This window comes from Homo sapiens, chromosome 14 (assembly GCF_000001405.40).
Source record: "Homo sapiens chromosome 14, GRCh38.p14 Primary Assembly".
Lineage (NCBI taxonomy): Eukaryota > Metazoa > Chordata > Mammalia > Primates > Hominidae > Homo > Homo sapiens.
The window spans coordinates 54,664,832-54,679,902 of NC_000014.9; the positions used below are offsets into that span (position 1 = coordinate 54,664,832).

The window sequence follows — 15,071 nt, forward strand, 5'->3', positions numbered from 1 at the left end:
CACACACACACACACACACTTCCTTAAAATAATAAGCTTTAATTTTTTAAAGTGTGACTTAACATTAGATAGTTCAGGAAAACACTTATTTCTCCTAAAGTGAGATCAGGTTGTAGTGAAACAAATCTTATTTGAAGTGTCCTAAAATACAGTGTGTTTTAAGTTGTTTTCTGTTCTCTTTGGTCCAAAAACATTTTGCAAAGACCTTCCTCTGTCTCTGTGTCGTGTCTAGATTCTATAGTGGAGCACAAACAACTGCAGGAAAAAATGTGAGAGTGCCTGTAGATACTGGAACATGTTAACAGAGGTATTTGAGAACCCTCAGGAAGAATAACATTTTACAGTGAGGTGATTGTTATCTTTAACAATAAAAGCCATATGAATGTGCTATAATTAAGGCTAATGTGGAATGCTTAAAATCATAAAACAGGTATGATCATTGGATTCCTATTCACCCAGGGAATGCAGATCCCAAAGATAAGTATGCCGGAACATGAACTTTGTGAGAAAACAGGAATCCACCCACCTCCAATAAACAAGAGACTGTCCTTCATTTCAGTTATAGCTCTTCAGGGTTTAATTTGGATAGATGTGAGGTGTTTTATTCTAGAGCATAAACTAGATGCTTCTTTCAAGTTAATGGGGAGCAACTGATGGCTACTGGATTAACTAGAAAAGAAATGTTCCTCTCTGCAGTTCTGGACAATACCACAATTTAATGACATTTTACCTGAGTGGACTTTTAAGAAGGATAGATTTGTCTTTTGCCTGTCAGGGCATAGATCCAAATTCAGAGCAGATGGTGGGAAAGATGAATGGCCACAGAGATCTCCAGGTAGAATTGGTTGGATTTCCTCAATCCTCATTAATTCCTGATTGATAGTCATCCATCTCCATCTTCTCTAACCATCCCTAATGAACCCTGATTTCTGAGGATTTTCTGGGTCTAGAATAACTAAAATGTGCTGACTTAAACCCAGAACAGATAAGATAACTACCTGCCTGATGTTTCAGGCTTTTGAAAGAAAGGGGCTTGTCTCAACCTGAAACCCCATTTTCCTTACGTTTAGCAATAATACAGTCATGGATTTTCTGTTCTGATAATAAAGAGACACAAATGGGCAGGATGTGAACCCCAAAGCTCAGGGAGAGTGTTTAAGAGACAAATTGCTTCTATGTTGTTCAGGTAAAACCTAGTAAAAGAGAGACTTTTTGGTTCTTAGATTGTCTGGCAAGAGACTCTAAGCCATCCTTGACCAAGCAGGACTGACAGGGTGTCACCCCAGCTATGGGAATGAGGCATAAGAAGAAGCACATGATTGTGGGGAAATCCCAGAAGTGTTCTGGGCCACTGAGGTGAAGAGAGGGCCCCAAGATCAGTGGAAGGAGGGACCCAGAGGAAGTACTGGATATAGCAAAGCTACATGGATTTAAAACAATGCCTGTGTGGGCGTCTTGATTAGTGGCCTGATATTCCTCATTACTTCCATATTAGGGCAGGCTTAGTGACATACAGTTGTCCCTCCATATACACCAGGGTATTGGCTCTGGGACCCCCTGGATACCCATATCCATACATACTGAAGTGCTTCAGTTGGCCCTGCAGAACCCACCTATAGGAAAAGTCGGCCCTCCATATGTGTGGATTTCATGTCCTGCAAACACGGTATTTTCAATCTGTGTTTGGTTGAATAAATCCGAGTATAAGTGGCCCTGCGCATTTCAAACCCTTGTTCAAGAGTCAACTGTAATTGTTTTTGCTTATCCTGGCCATTCTCCTGCTAACCAATTTATATTATTATTTTGATTATAATTGTATTAGCTCCCATTCTGAGCCAGATGCCATCAGCTTATAAATAGCATGTATTGTCAGAGACACTTAACTGAGAAGACAAATGATTCCCATTTAGGATGGGAATTTTTGTGCAATTGACAGGGAGCATTAACCCTTTGATTACCATAAGCCTATAGACACATAGGTACCCCCAAATGTTGGAGGAATGGCACAAGCTAGCAAACCAAACACTGTCAAATCATGGGAGCTTAAGACCCTGGAAGAAAGTGCCCAGGAGATGGACTCTTAGTTTTAAGAAAAGTTAAATAAGTGTAACATTTTTGGTGGTCCTTTTCTTCACTTGAGCAGAATGACAATATTTTACTAGTCCACCAAGAAAGAAATCGAGATTTAAACCAACTTCTCACCTTTTGTGCAAGGCCTAACCTCAGTAGCTATTAAAAATAAATGGGATTTAAATAGATGCAGAAGCACCTATTTAATTTTTAATTTCACGCTCTTGTATTTTGCAGAGCAATTTTAGGTCAGCTTGTGAGGGCTGGTTGAGGGGAAAACAGCCCTAAGAGACAGCTGGGAGAGAAACAGGTTTTCAAGTGCAAGACAAAGTCGTTAGCTCAGGGTTCAGCTGTTACCAACTCTGCAAGTGACCTCAGCTCAATATCCTTATCTTGAAAATGGAAATGATAATGCTTACTGTGTCTTTATGAGATGTGATGGTATCCATGATTGGTGGCTTTGAGCTGAAAGTTTGAGGGTGGAACTTCTCTTTTCTTCCCTAGGGGTCTCCATGTTTGTAGGTCAAAGTTCCAGGTACAGGGAAGGCATTGGCTTTGCTCTGTCCTGTGTCTGTGCCTTTGTTACACATGGTGACCAGGACAGTCAGCCACAGTGTCCAGTTACCCTGGGTCATCTCATTGAAGAGCCAAGGAGAGGCAAATGTCATTCTTCCACATCCTGCTATTCACCTGGGATCACCAGCCTCTCTGTTGCCTTCTCCCTGTCACCCAGGGCGAGTGACTTGTGGGGACGGCTCTGTGGAACCCTTCTCTCTCTTGCTGTCATGTGCAATTTGTTTCACCAGTAACTCAGGTGGATAGTAATTTTTCAATCACAGCTTATCTCACACCCTTTACTTTATTTTCTGGGTCCTGCTTACTGAGTCTTTACCACACACCATGCATTCATGCTTAGCCTTTGCTTATGTTGTCTTCTTTTTAAATGGAGAGAACTGTGGACAAGAGAGGTTACGTGAGCGCCCCAGACTGGACAGCTGTTCAGTGGTGGGCCTGCCTGCCTCGGGAGCCCTGAGGGCCTCACCCTCTGTTTCTCATGCCTTCCTGGCACAGTTGTCTTCCAGCTGTTCTCTCCACCCCGGCCCTCCCGCAGGCTGCCACCAGATGCATCTCCACACACTGCCGTTCTGATCGGATTTCCGCCTCAAAAACTGCCCATTGTTTTATAACACACCAGCCCTCTACAAGTTGACCTTGTGAGTTTTTGTCCCTCCTGCTTTCCCAAAACCAGTTCTCAGATACAGCCCCATGTTCTGTGGCCTAGTTCCTACATACAACTTGTGCCTTTGCACAGTACCTTTCCTCTACTTGAAACAGCCTCTCTTCACCTCCATCTCCCAATCTCCAAGCCATCCTCGAGGGCCGAGCACAAATTCTGGGTCTCTGATGCCTTCTAGGACTGGCCCAACTCGAAGCCATTTCTCTCCCCTTGGAGTTTAGGGGGTACTTATCATAGAATCGCTCAGATGGCATGATATGTGAGGCCTGGCAGTGAACTTATTTTCTATTTGTCAAGATCCCCTAAAAGGATCTTGGAGTTTACAGGTGAGAAAGCCACAGAGGGGTTAATGACAGTATTGGGACCAGCGTCCAGTTTCCCCAAATGCCAGACTGGTGATTTTTTCTACTGTAGCTTTCTATCTCTGTCCTTACTTGGGCAAAGACTACATCCTGTCTGTATTTATTTGTATTAGCTAGTGGATATTCAATAAACATTTGTAGAAACCAAGGAAAAGAAAGAAGATAGGAAGGAAAAAAAATGCTAGTTAACACCTATGTGGCACTTACTGTTTTAATTTAATCCCCCTTCTGGTTTTCTTCCTATAACATCCTTATGACATAGATACTATTCTCATCATCTCTATTTTACAGGTGAGGAGACCGAGGCAAGAGAGGTTAAGTAACTTGCCTAAAGTCACAAAGCTGGTGAGTGACACAGTTGGGTGTGAAGCCAGGGAGTCTGACTCCTGAGTCCATGTTCTTCTCTCTCCACCATATCACTCTGCAGGGTCAAGAAGGAATGACAGACAGGGAACTCTGAAATGTTCACAAAGAAGGCTGAACCTCCAATCAGTGCCCGAGGCCATAGAGCAGAGGACATTTAGGTTAGGCTACCATGCTTTATCTTCCTTTAATTTAAATTGAGGAGAAATACCACCATTAAGCCATTCGTGGGAGAAGGAGGCGCAGCCACAGGGCTGTGGAGTCAGTAGCTACAGCTTGGATCATCATGAAGCTCTCTGAACCCTTGACCCACATTTTCTCCCTTACATCCTACTCATTAGAGGAGACACAGCTAAGGTACTGTTCAGTGGTTCACATGCCCCAGCCTGGAGCCCGTTAGAGAAGGGGAAGCTGCTGCTGTCCTCCTTGGAGGCTCTCCCTGAGCACCTGCTTTCCACGGAATGCTCAGGAAAGAAAAAAGTCACAGGGTTGAAATGTGTACCGAATGTGTCAAGTTTGGCTGAAACAAGCTGATAAAGAATATTTAAGGAGAGCTTTATTTTTAGAAGCAACGCTTCTTTCTTTTTTTTTTTTTTTTTTTTTTAGAGAGAGACAGGATCGCACTCTGTTGCCCAGGCTGGCTGGAGTGCAGTGGTGCGATCATCGCTCACTGCAGCCCTGAACTCCTAGGCTCAAGCAGTCCTCCTGCCTCAGCCTCCCAAGTAGCTAGGACCACAGGCGTGCACCACTACGCCCGGCTAGCACTCCTTTCTTTAGTCCACTGTTGGTGTTGGTTTTTAACTAGGCCCCCACTAGGTATTGCTGTTCCTGCCTATAATTAGCACCTCTTTTCTCTCACACACAGAAAAGTCTGTCTTAAACATATTGTGAGCTTCAGAGCATGTTAAAGAAAGTTGTCTGTCGCTTAGTAGCATGGAAAGATGACGTTGCCAGCATGCAGGGAACGCTTTGCACCAAGAATCCCGGAGTGAATCGAATAATATTCCAGATTCTATGAATCAGAGCTGAATCATGTTTAAGTGTATGCTGCGTTTTGAGGGATTCCCTTCTGCCCCCCCAGCCCCCTGGGGTGAAAAGCACTGCTTTTCCTGTGTAAAGAAAAAACGTTCACACCCAGACCAGTGAAATGTTTTTGTGGCCACGTTGTGAACGCACTGAGTGTTTGTTGTGGCCCAACTAAGACAACTTTATAGATTAATGAAGAGTGATGTATCCTTTCTTCCGAACAGAACATTTAGTTCTCGCTCTGCCTGTCTGACCCCAAGCAAGTCTGTCTGGCCCCATCCCTCATTCCCCGCCCCCATCTGCACCACCCTCTTGTAAATCTCTTAGTACATTTTTGTGATCGCCGTCCAGTCTGTTCCTAGGCATTAAGGACTCTCTGAGCTTTGTGAAAGTAGGTTACCGTTCATCTGGTTTCTTGGAAGAAATGTGCATGTGTAAGGGTAGCTTTTCACATAAAAGACCAAAACCACGAAATCCAGGAAGCCAAGAATGAATGGGCCCAGGTGACTTGCCTTTCTTAACTCTTACAGAAAGCGAAGCTCCTTCAGGGCTAAGAAAGGCATTGCTGTGTAGAGGACGGAGCCAGACGAAGCCTGGGGGAGGCAGAACTGGGTTCAAGCCTCAGCATTATGTTTTACCAGCTTTTGACCTCGGCCAAATGACTTAACTTTTCTGAATCACAATTCCCATCTGTAAAATAAGGATAATAAAGCCTGGCTTGTAGGCTTATTGAAAGAATTACAAATATAGGATATAAAGTGCCTAGCACGTGGTATGTGATTGATGGTAGCTGTTGTTATTGCTGCAATTGTTGTCTTCATATCATTGTTACCACCTCTACAAGTAGCTCTTGTATGTGGAGGGAACAGAGGAGAACTTAACTGCTGTTGCCTCCCATGCTCATAAGACATAGCTTTGACCTTCAAGACTACCTGCATTCCTTACCAATAGCAGCTAAAATTGCTCCTAAAACAACAAAAGTAAATATAAACATTGCAGCCACATAGAGATGAACACAAAGAAGGAAGTGTTCCTCATTCCAGCAGGAGATCCCTTAGCTGAGTGAATTCTTTTTCCCCTCCTTCCACCGATAAATATTGACAGGCACCCACCGAGGATGTGCAGAGCTCAGGCGTGGCTGAGGGGACCCAAGTTGAATCAGACATGGATTCTGTCTTCAAGAAGCTTACCATCTGCCAGGAAAGATGAAAAATGAAAGATAAGTGTGGCGAAAGTGAGGCAGAAAATGGTTAGATCGTAAGAGAAAGATCACTGAAGGGCTCTGGAACTTGGAAGGAAAAAGTAATTTTAGCTGGAGTTGGGACATGGGAGTTTTATGGAAGAGGCAGCCCAGCCCAGCAGCATCACTGTTAGGGACACAGATTCTGGGGTTTGAACCTTGGCTTTACTACTTATTTGTTGTGGCTTCTTGTGCAAGCTAGGTCCCATCTCCATGCTTCTGCTTCCTCATCTTTGAAATCTGGATAATAATAGTACCTAGGGGTGTTGTAAGGATTAAGTGAGATATGGAAAGTGCTTAGAACAGCACCTAGTGAGTGCAATGGGAGTGATTGTTAAATGAGTTTGTCAAAGGACAGGTATAGATTTGGCCTTCAAGGAGAGGTGGGCAGTGTTTGTCCAGGAGGAAGCACAGCCAAGGCAGAGGCTGGGCTGAGTGAGGCACAGGGTTAGAGAAGGTGAGAGGTGCAGAGGGCAGCTTGGGACAAGTGTCAGGCCTAGAATCTTGGACTTTACTGAACACGTGGAACGAACTCAGTCTTCCAGAATTCTGTAGTGGGTGTGTGTGAAGCCTGAATCTGAACCTGTCTCAGAGTAGGTTTCTACATCTCAGTGCCAGTGAATGTGGCAATGAACCAGCTGCCAGCAGGCATGAAATCAAAGCTTGGATTATCAGGGCTCAACGCATAGGCCTGAATTGACACCTCAGGGAAGAGGTGCGACAGGGCCCTAGCAGGAAGCTGAACTTTGGGGCAAGAGAAGGGGTGGTGCTGCAGAGGCATTGGGGTGGGGGCAGGAATGGAGAGTAGTGTTAGGGGGAGATTGGGAGATGGGGAGAAGGAAAATGTCACACCATTACCCCCATCTACTGCTTCCTTTTCTGTTTATAGTGTTTTTTTTTTTTTTTTTTTCTTCAGGGTATAGTCAGCCATTCTGCTTTGGAATTTGTTTTTGTTTTTAATTTAAATTTATTTTTTTTTGAGATGGGGTCTTGCCTTGTTGCCCAGGCTGGACTGGAACCCCTGGGTTCAAGCGATTCTCCCACTTCAGCTTTTGGAGTAGCTGGGAGTACGGGCATATGCCACCACATCCAGCTGTTTTTTTTGTGTTTTTTTCCCTCTTTTAAATTTTTTCGAGCCTTGGGATGCCTGTCAGCCACTTAAATGCAGTCATCTTTACTCTTCCTAAGCGCAGAAGGGTGTACGAGGGTGGAGGGAAGGTGGGAAGATTAAAACCAACCGTGGGAGACTATTTTCAGTCATCTGCAGACGTCTCACTTTGTCATGATGTGGAATCTGTCACTCTCTGCCTCCTCTTCTACCTATCTATAGCTGGAATTCCGTAAGACTTCAGAAAAGGCTGACTAAGGTTCACAGGGCCCCTGAGAGGGTGCCCTGTCATCCTGGGATTTGTTTTCCAAATTAAAAATTGGAGGATTTGAACACTAGGTTTGATCTGCTTTTAACTTTAGCTGCATAAAGGTTATCATGAATTTTTTTTAAATCTAACTTATTAGACAAGAATAGTATTATTTTTTAAGGGTTATAAGGATGTAGGGCAATTTCTAAGACCACATGTAAGTCATTTAAAATTCTTTTTGGTACAAGGTAGCATGTAAATAAGTCTATGTATGTACTAAATCAAGATCAATTACCATAAAATGTCTGTCTGTAACATGGGAACAATGAAATGATGAAGTGCAACTGTAAAGTAATTTGTTGCTCTGAAACCAGCTATGCATCTTCCCACGAAGTGACTAAGAGTGAAATATCACCGTGTTAACAGTTAGGAGAGTGATTTTCTGGCCCAAGATACATTTTGCCGGCATTAGAGACTCACCGGAAGAGATCTTGAATGATCTCCAGAGAGGTACCTGGGACCCTTTCTCGAAGGTTACCTTGCAGGCTTGGAAGGTAGACAAGCATATTTGTAAATGATGGGAAGTATTTGCTGATTTGGGCTTTAAAGGAATTTACTTTCATATTCCTCCAGTGGCTCTTTTCCAGAGCACTATAATCCATGCTTGGAAACTATTCTTTATCCATCATATCCTTGCTGAAGAGTAAAGTTTGCCCCACAGCTGTCTGACAGCCAAGTCACCCCAATTTCAATGGGAGCAGCACATGTTTGTCCAGAGCTAGAATTTGGCTCTTTCACGCTCAGGCCTAAAGGGCCTGTTTAATATATTATGTAAGAAAGAATGAGATCATATAAATAGTCCTGGCTCCTACCTTGCACCAAAAGTCATCCTTATTTGGTGCTTCCAAAGTTAGAAAACAATACAGGCAATAAAAACATTCTCAGGATCATGAATAAATAATGGCTACCTTGTACTCAACCATGGGTTTTGTGACGGCAGCGTCAGCATAGCGGGCTGCCTGCTGCTTTTAGCACTGGAAATTTGGACTGGTTTCATTTAACCTCTCAGCTGCTTAGAAGGAACACTCTGGAAGTCCACTGAATTCTCACCTGCTTTCGGGATGCCCAGGCATCACTGGGACAAAGCTGTCTACCGAAGCCCTGGGTCCTGTGGGCAGGGGTGGGAGGGCTCTGCAGCCCTTAGGAGGGAGCAGCAGCCCAGCCCCAGCAGGCCATCTACAGGGCCTTAGGCAGCTGAGTCTAAGAAGAGAGAGCCTAGCACTTCTTCCGGTCATCTTATTGACTGAGCTGAAGGGAGATCAAATTTCGGTCTTCTGTCTGTGTAAATAGTAATGGCTATCGCTCTTAAACTTCAGACCTCAGCTCATGGATCTGGATTGGTTTATTTTTGAGAGCTGAACTCTGGAGGCCACTCTTCCCTACTTTCTGAAGCGTTTGATGCCTCTATCTGAGCATGGAACCTACTCTGAGTCATCAGACGCCACGCTTAGGGCACATAGAATTAAGTCGGGGGAGTGATGAAAATTCATTCACTTCTCTCCTCTGGGACCTAAATCCATTTTAGCATTCCACTTGAATCCAACAAGGAATGCCAAAATATTAAAGTGTGGCATTCTCATTCTTTTCTCTGGAAAGAAGTGTTTATGCAAAGGAGGCCTAGGTCCCTGCAGAGTCGGCAAGAAGCCTGGCAAGAGGTTTGTCTCATTTAAGCAGTAAATATATTCAGTGGCAGCAGAGATACTGCCAAGTAAGTTTATTCCATTTTTAGGGAGGGAAGGGCAGGAGTTTTGCTGCTCCTTTAAGTTGCTTTTTGCTTTTAAATTTTTTGCATGAGGTTCTCTAAAAAAGTAAGACTGTAAAAGCAGCTTGTTCAAAACTTGACCTCTTCGGCATGCCCAAGAATTTGTGAAACAAAAGAGAAGGCAATGGATAATTGATTCTGTTCTCTAAAGGCCCTTCTGACACTGGTCAGGTACTGGTGTGGTTTCTACTGGTGTAGAAACTGGTGTAGATACTGGTGTAGATACTGGTGTGGTTTCTACTGGTGTGGTTTCTACCATGCAGGCGTTTAGTCTCTGCCAGCAGGAGGACACAGATGGTGTCTACCTTTCTACAGATGTCTTTAAATGTCAAAGACATGAGAAGAGAATCTATTGACATTCTTATCATTGTGACAATGTGGTAGATCCCTTAGCATTACCTATGCCCTAAATGATACTCAAATAAGTGGGCTAGGGAAAGATTTTATTTTATTTTTGAGACAGGGTCTCACTCTGTCACCCAGGCTGTAGTGCAGTGGCATGATCACGGCTCACAGCAGCCTCAACCTCCTGGAAATCAAGTGATCCTCCCACCTCAGCCTCTTGAGTACTGGGAATATTAGGCCCGTGCCATGATGCCCAGCGAATTTTGAAATTTATTTTTTGTAGAGATGAGGTCTCACTGTGTTGCCCAGGCTGCTCTCGAGCTCCCAGGTTCAAACGATCGTCCCACCTCAGTCTTCCAAAGTGCTGGGATTACAGGTGTGAGCCACTGTGGTTGGCTCAGTAGGGAGAGATTTTAAAAGAAAGCAGAAGGCCAGGCATGGTGGCTCGCGCCTGTAATCCAAGCACTTTGGGAGGCTGAGGCGGGTGGATCACCTGAGGTCAGGAGTTCGAGACCAGCTTGGCCAACCTGGTGAAACCCCGTCTCTACTAAAAATATAAAAATTAGCCGGGCGTGGTGGCGGGCGCCTGTAATCCCAGTTACTCAGGAGGCTGAGGCAGGAGAATCACTTGAACCTAGGAGGTGGAGGTTGCAGTGAGCCGAGATTGTGCCATTGCACTCTAGCCTGGGCAACAAGAGTGAAACTCCGTCTCCAAAAAAAAAAAAAAAAAAAAGGCAGAGAATCCCCTACCATGGAGAGCAGCTTATTTTATGACCAACAAGTCACAGAACCTTTGAAATTTTTGCTTGAGAGTCAAACTTTAAACTTATTCCTTAGCTATGCTTTAGGTCTGACTAAGCAATAGTGTAAGGACATGAGAAACAATGTTGCAGCAGGGGAGAGCTTCAAAGTCTTTACTTTGTTACTAAATGTGAGATTTAGGAACTGTGTGATTTAATTGAAGTGATTGCTTCTGGTAGAATTCAATAGAGTTGTCATATCAAATTAAGTTTTATCGAGTTTCACCAGATAGGGATATTCACTAGCCTGAATACCAACACAGTATGTGCTCACCACATTTTTGAAAGTGAGGCGAGAGTCACCCTGCAGTACAAATGAGCTTGCCATAATTGGCCTGTTTTAATACTCTGTGGTTATGGGGACATCAGAGCTCCCATGAACAAGTGAGAGGTTTGTTAGGAAGATCTCACGGTAGAGAGTCCTTGCTCGTGAGGTTTGGAAAACTCAGTTCTTCAGTCAGTGTCTTGCACAGGCACAAACCTTAGCCTAAATATAGAAGGCTAAAAAAGAATCCTTCCACGGGAGGGCTCCCTTAAATTAGCTCAGTTAATCTATTCATCTGTGTGTGCTGACTCGTGCCTAAACATTAGAGGCCAAATCCAAAAAAAGAAAAAGCAAGGCCGCGACTCAATACTAAGAAAGATGGAGAACAACTGAGTATGATCCTGTACAAAGGAGCCCCTGAATACCACAGCAGCTCCATGTTCGATCTGAGATGTACTGGCTCCTGACAGTCACCCTAACTACTTCACCTCTCATTTTGGTATTAAAAGTGCCTTTGGCGTATTCAGATATCTCCATTTTTCATGGTTGTACTCAGTTTTCAAATCATCCTATGGTATTGGTTTCAAACAAGATCAGAAGTTCTAAAAAGATGTTAACCATTTTATGCTTTTAGTACTTTCCTTTCTTTTCTTTTTTCTTTTCTTTTCTTTGAGACAGAGTCTTGCTCTATCACCCAGGCTGGAGTGCAGTGGCACAATCTTGCTTGGCTCACTGTAACCTCCGCCTCCCAAGTTCAAGCGATTCTCCTGCCTCAGTCTCCTGAGTAGCTGGGGCTACAGGCACGAGCCACCACACCCAGCTAATTTTTTTTTTTTTATTTCTAGTAAAGACAGGGTTTCACCATGTTGGCAAGGCTGGTCTCAAACTCCTGACCTCAGGTGTTCCACCCGCCTCAGCCTCCCAGAGTGCTGGGATTACAGGCGTGAACCACTGTGCCTATTCTGCTTTTAGTTCTTTCAGTATATTTCCACCTTGCCAGGAAATTGCTAGCCTTCTAATATTGCTGATTTCTTTATTTAGTAGGTGGTCCAGGATGACAATGCTTTAGGCCTTCATCTCATAAACACAGTAAGCAATTCTCAAGAACGTGTAGGGTTAAAGAGATTTGGACTCCAATTTCCAAAACCGAAATGGCAGCAGGGAACATGACAGGATGCAGAAGAGATCCTCGCAGTCTAGAGCCTTGCATTATGCATTTTGCTTCCCACTGAAGCCAGAGATCCATTTTTATAGTCAGGTTTGTTGTTCCTGCTGAAACACGGCACATGCTCTGCCTGAATTCTGGCCATGTGTTTCCGTCGTTTAGTTATCTAACTTGTTATCTCCTGACTTCCCATTTCTCTGTGAAAGTCAGGTGGTGTAAGACACCCAAAGAAGAAAATCAGGAAAGGAGAAGGTGTTTGGAAGTGGTTCAGAGGTAGTGTTCTCTGTGTTAAGGGGGCTGTGGGACTGTCCTTGAAAAGCTATTTTTGATCCTAGCAGTTTTACTACACTTTGTAATGTTTGGGCAACCAAATTGGTCATGGTGTTAGAATCCTTATAATTGGGTGGATCTATGTTATTTTGCTATCTTCAGAGAAATGAATTTTATGAATATTTCTGTTTTAAAAGAACAAAACAGCAGCAAAAACCAATCCCTATTACCCTAACTCCTCCACGCACATAGTATTCTAATGTGGTTTATTCCTGAAACTGACTCATTCAGCTTTCTCCTGGAAGTTGTCAGAATGTACGCCTGGTTAATGGAGAAAATCAGTGCACTGCCCAGGCTGCACAATGCCATGACTCATTCCTGGCATTTCAGAGGCTTTGTAATGGAAATCGTAGTTCCAAGCTACGGTTCTTACCAAGTGGATATGTGAATGTTAATGAAACAAAGCAAAAGTCTCCGAGGATCCTGCATAACTCTCACCATAGATGTGGTGTTTGCTTGATGAAATGAAGATTTTTGTGGGGCAGATTGTTCCTCTCCATAACCCACACATTCTCGAATACCACAATATTGTTTTAATTAGTCTTATAAAACATAGTAAAATATTTGGCTTTGAAGAAAGAGGAACATTCTCTCCTATGTTGGAATTGTTTGGTTAAAAGGGCATTTTTTTCTATTGAATTAGTCTTTTGGGGTTTACACTAGTATCTGAATCCTTTCTAAATAGCTTCTAATGTTCTTCAGCAATTTGCATTCATTCATTCTGTCTGTCTGTCTATCAATCGTAAAGGAAAAGAAATATCTTTCTTTCCCAACACTAGGTTCGTGGCTGAGGCTCCTACAACAAAAGACAGATTTTAACAAGAGAAAAGCATACAAATTAATTCAAATATAAGTTTTGCATGACATGGGAGGCTTCAGAAAAGAAGACCCAAAGAAACAGAGAAATCTGCATATTTTATGCTTAGGTTTGATAAAGAATGCACAGTTGTGCAGAAGTATGATTGGGGGACAAAAGGATGTGATCTAATGGTAATAAACTTAAGGGAGTTTAGCAAGGCCTGTTTGTTCAGATTCTTCTTGGCATCTCTGTGTCGTTAAAAATAAGGATGTTCCTTTCCTCCAGGTACAGGGAGGGTACCTCTAGAATGAAGGTTTTATGACCTGCCTCAGGGGAGAAGGGAGGAGAATTTAAAAGTGACCTTCCTAATTCTGCTGTTTTCTCTAATACCAATGTGTCGTATTTTGGGCAGTCACCATTTGTGTGTGTGTGTGTGTGTGTGTGTGTGTGTGTGTGTGTGTGTGTGTGTGTGTGTGTGTGTGTGTGTGTGTGTGTGTGTGTGTAGGTCAGGTGGGGAGGGGTATGGAATATATGATCTTTTTTTTTTTTTTTTGAGACGGAGTCTCGCTCTTTCGCCCAGGCCGGAGTGCAGCGGCGCGATCACGGCTCACTGCAAGCTCCGCCTCCCGGGTTCACGCCATTCTCCTGCCTCAGCCTCCTGAGTAGCTGGGACTACAGGCGCCCGCCATCGCTTCCGGCTAATTTTTTGCATTTTTAGTAGAGACGGGGTTTCACCGTGTTAGCCAGGATGGTCTCGATCTCCTGACCTCGTGATCCGCCCGCCTCGGCCTCCCAAAGTGCTGGGATTACAGGCGTGAGCCACCGCGCCCGGCCTGATCTTTAGGGAAAGCATGGATAATTGAAACCCTGCATAATCCCAGCCTTTTATGCTACCTTCTTGTGGACTCGATCTTGTCTCCAAACTTCATTCAAATGCCATTCCTCTTTCTCTGTGCTATGTAAGGTTTAAAAATAGTAAATAGCCAAGAGATAGCAGGGAGAAGTGGGGGAAACAAGGAAGACAGACAGTTTGAACACTTATGTTTTATTGACTCGGATTTGGATTTTGTTTATGACAGACTAGTAGGACTTTGGGGAAACTCGCAGATAAGCTGGGTTTTTTTCTATCATTTTTGGAGATTATAGCAGGAGGTCAAATATTTAAAGTTGTTTTGGGTGATTCTAATGTGTCTACAATGCATTGGACCAGGAATATTCTGGAGCTGCTAGAAAGCAGACATTTAGAAGCAAGAGAAGAGCATGAGCAGTATCCCTTATCACTTAGCCACTTGATTCTGATCCTGGCTTCTCTAACAATAGCTCCTTGCTATGTGCTCTTAAAACACAAGTGCTAATATTATGAGAAATGAATTATATGAAAAACAGTCTAGTCTTTTCTAAAAATGCCAAAAATACCAATCTGCAACCAAGAACGTGTAAGCATGTTCTCCCCTTTCCAGATGATGCGGGATGCCAGGCAAAGACCAAGTTTCCATGGCTACCCTGAGGCCTGCATGGAAGTGGAGGCCTTAGTTTATAGGAGTGAAGGTCTTTAAATGAGGGCATCCAAAGTGAATGCCTATCATTATCCCAGTACTAAGTCTTTAGATGCACAAACCATTGTTTTCCATGTCATCCTTTGGAAGTGGCGGGTGATGGAAGACCATTTTGTGTATTTTTAATAGGAGGAAACTGAGGCACAAGAGATTACATTCCCAGAGCTAGAACCAAGTGCTGTGTCCCTGAGGTCCTGTCTGCAATTGGGAGACAACTCTGAACTGACCCCTTTTGCATTCCTGGTCTCTGCACAGTAACTCTTCCCTCTGCTCATCAAATCCATTTCAGAATGTGTATACAGTAATACTTCTGTTTGAAAGTCTTCAAGATTT

General features: G+C 43.6%; 1 protein-coding gene and 1 long non-coding RNA gene across 17 annotated transcripts in view, besides 1 other annotated feature; both read left to right on the forward strand.

Annotated features, from left to right (window-relative positions):
* The window catches only part of LOC112268133 (uncharacterized), a 64,608-nt gene extending 60,785 nt beyond the window's left edge, over positions 1-3,823 (forward strand). The window contains exon 2 of the long non-coding RNA XR_002957606.2: positions 1-3,823. This exon is cut by the window's left edge and continues 55,333 nt beyond it. This is a non-coding gene — a long non-coding RNA (uncharacterized LOC112268133).
* SAMD4A (sterile alpha motif domain containing 4A) overlaps positions 1-15,071 on the forward strand; it is a 228,000-nt gene that overhangs the window by 99,516 nt on the left and 113,413 nt on the right. The gene's annotated exons all lie outside the window — the stretch shown is intronic.
* Positions 1,366-1,415: an enhancer, noted in NCBI's record as "active region_8414". NCBI's record gives its function as "activates an Ori minimal core promoter by ATAC-STARR-seq in GM12878 lymphoblastoid cells {active_cell/tissue: GM12878}" and the evidence as "EXISTENCE:reporter gene assay evidence [ECO:0000049][PMID:35858748]".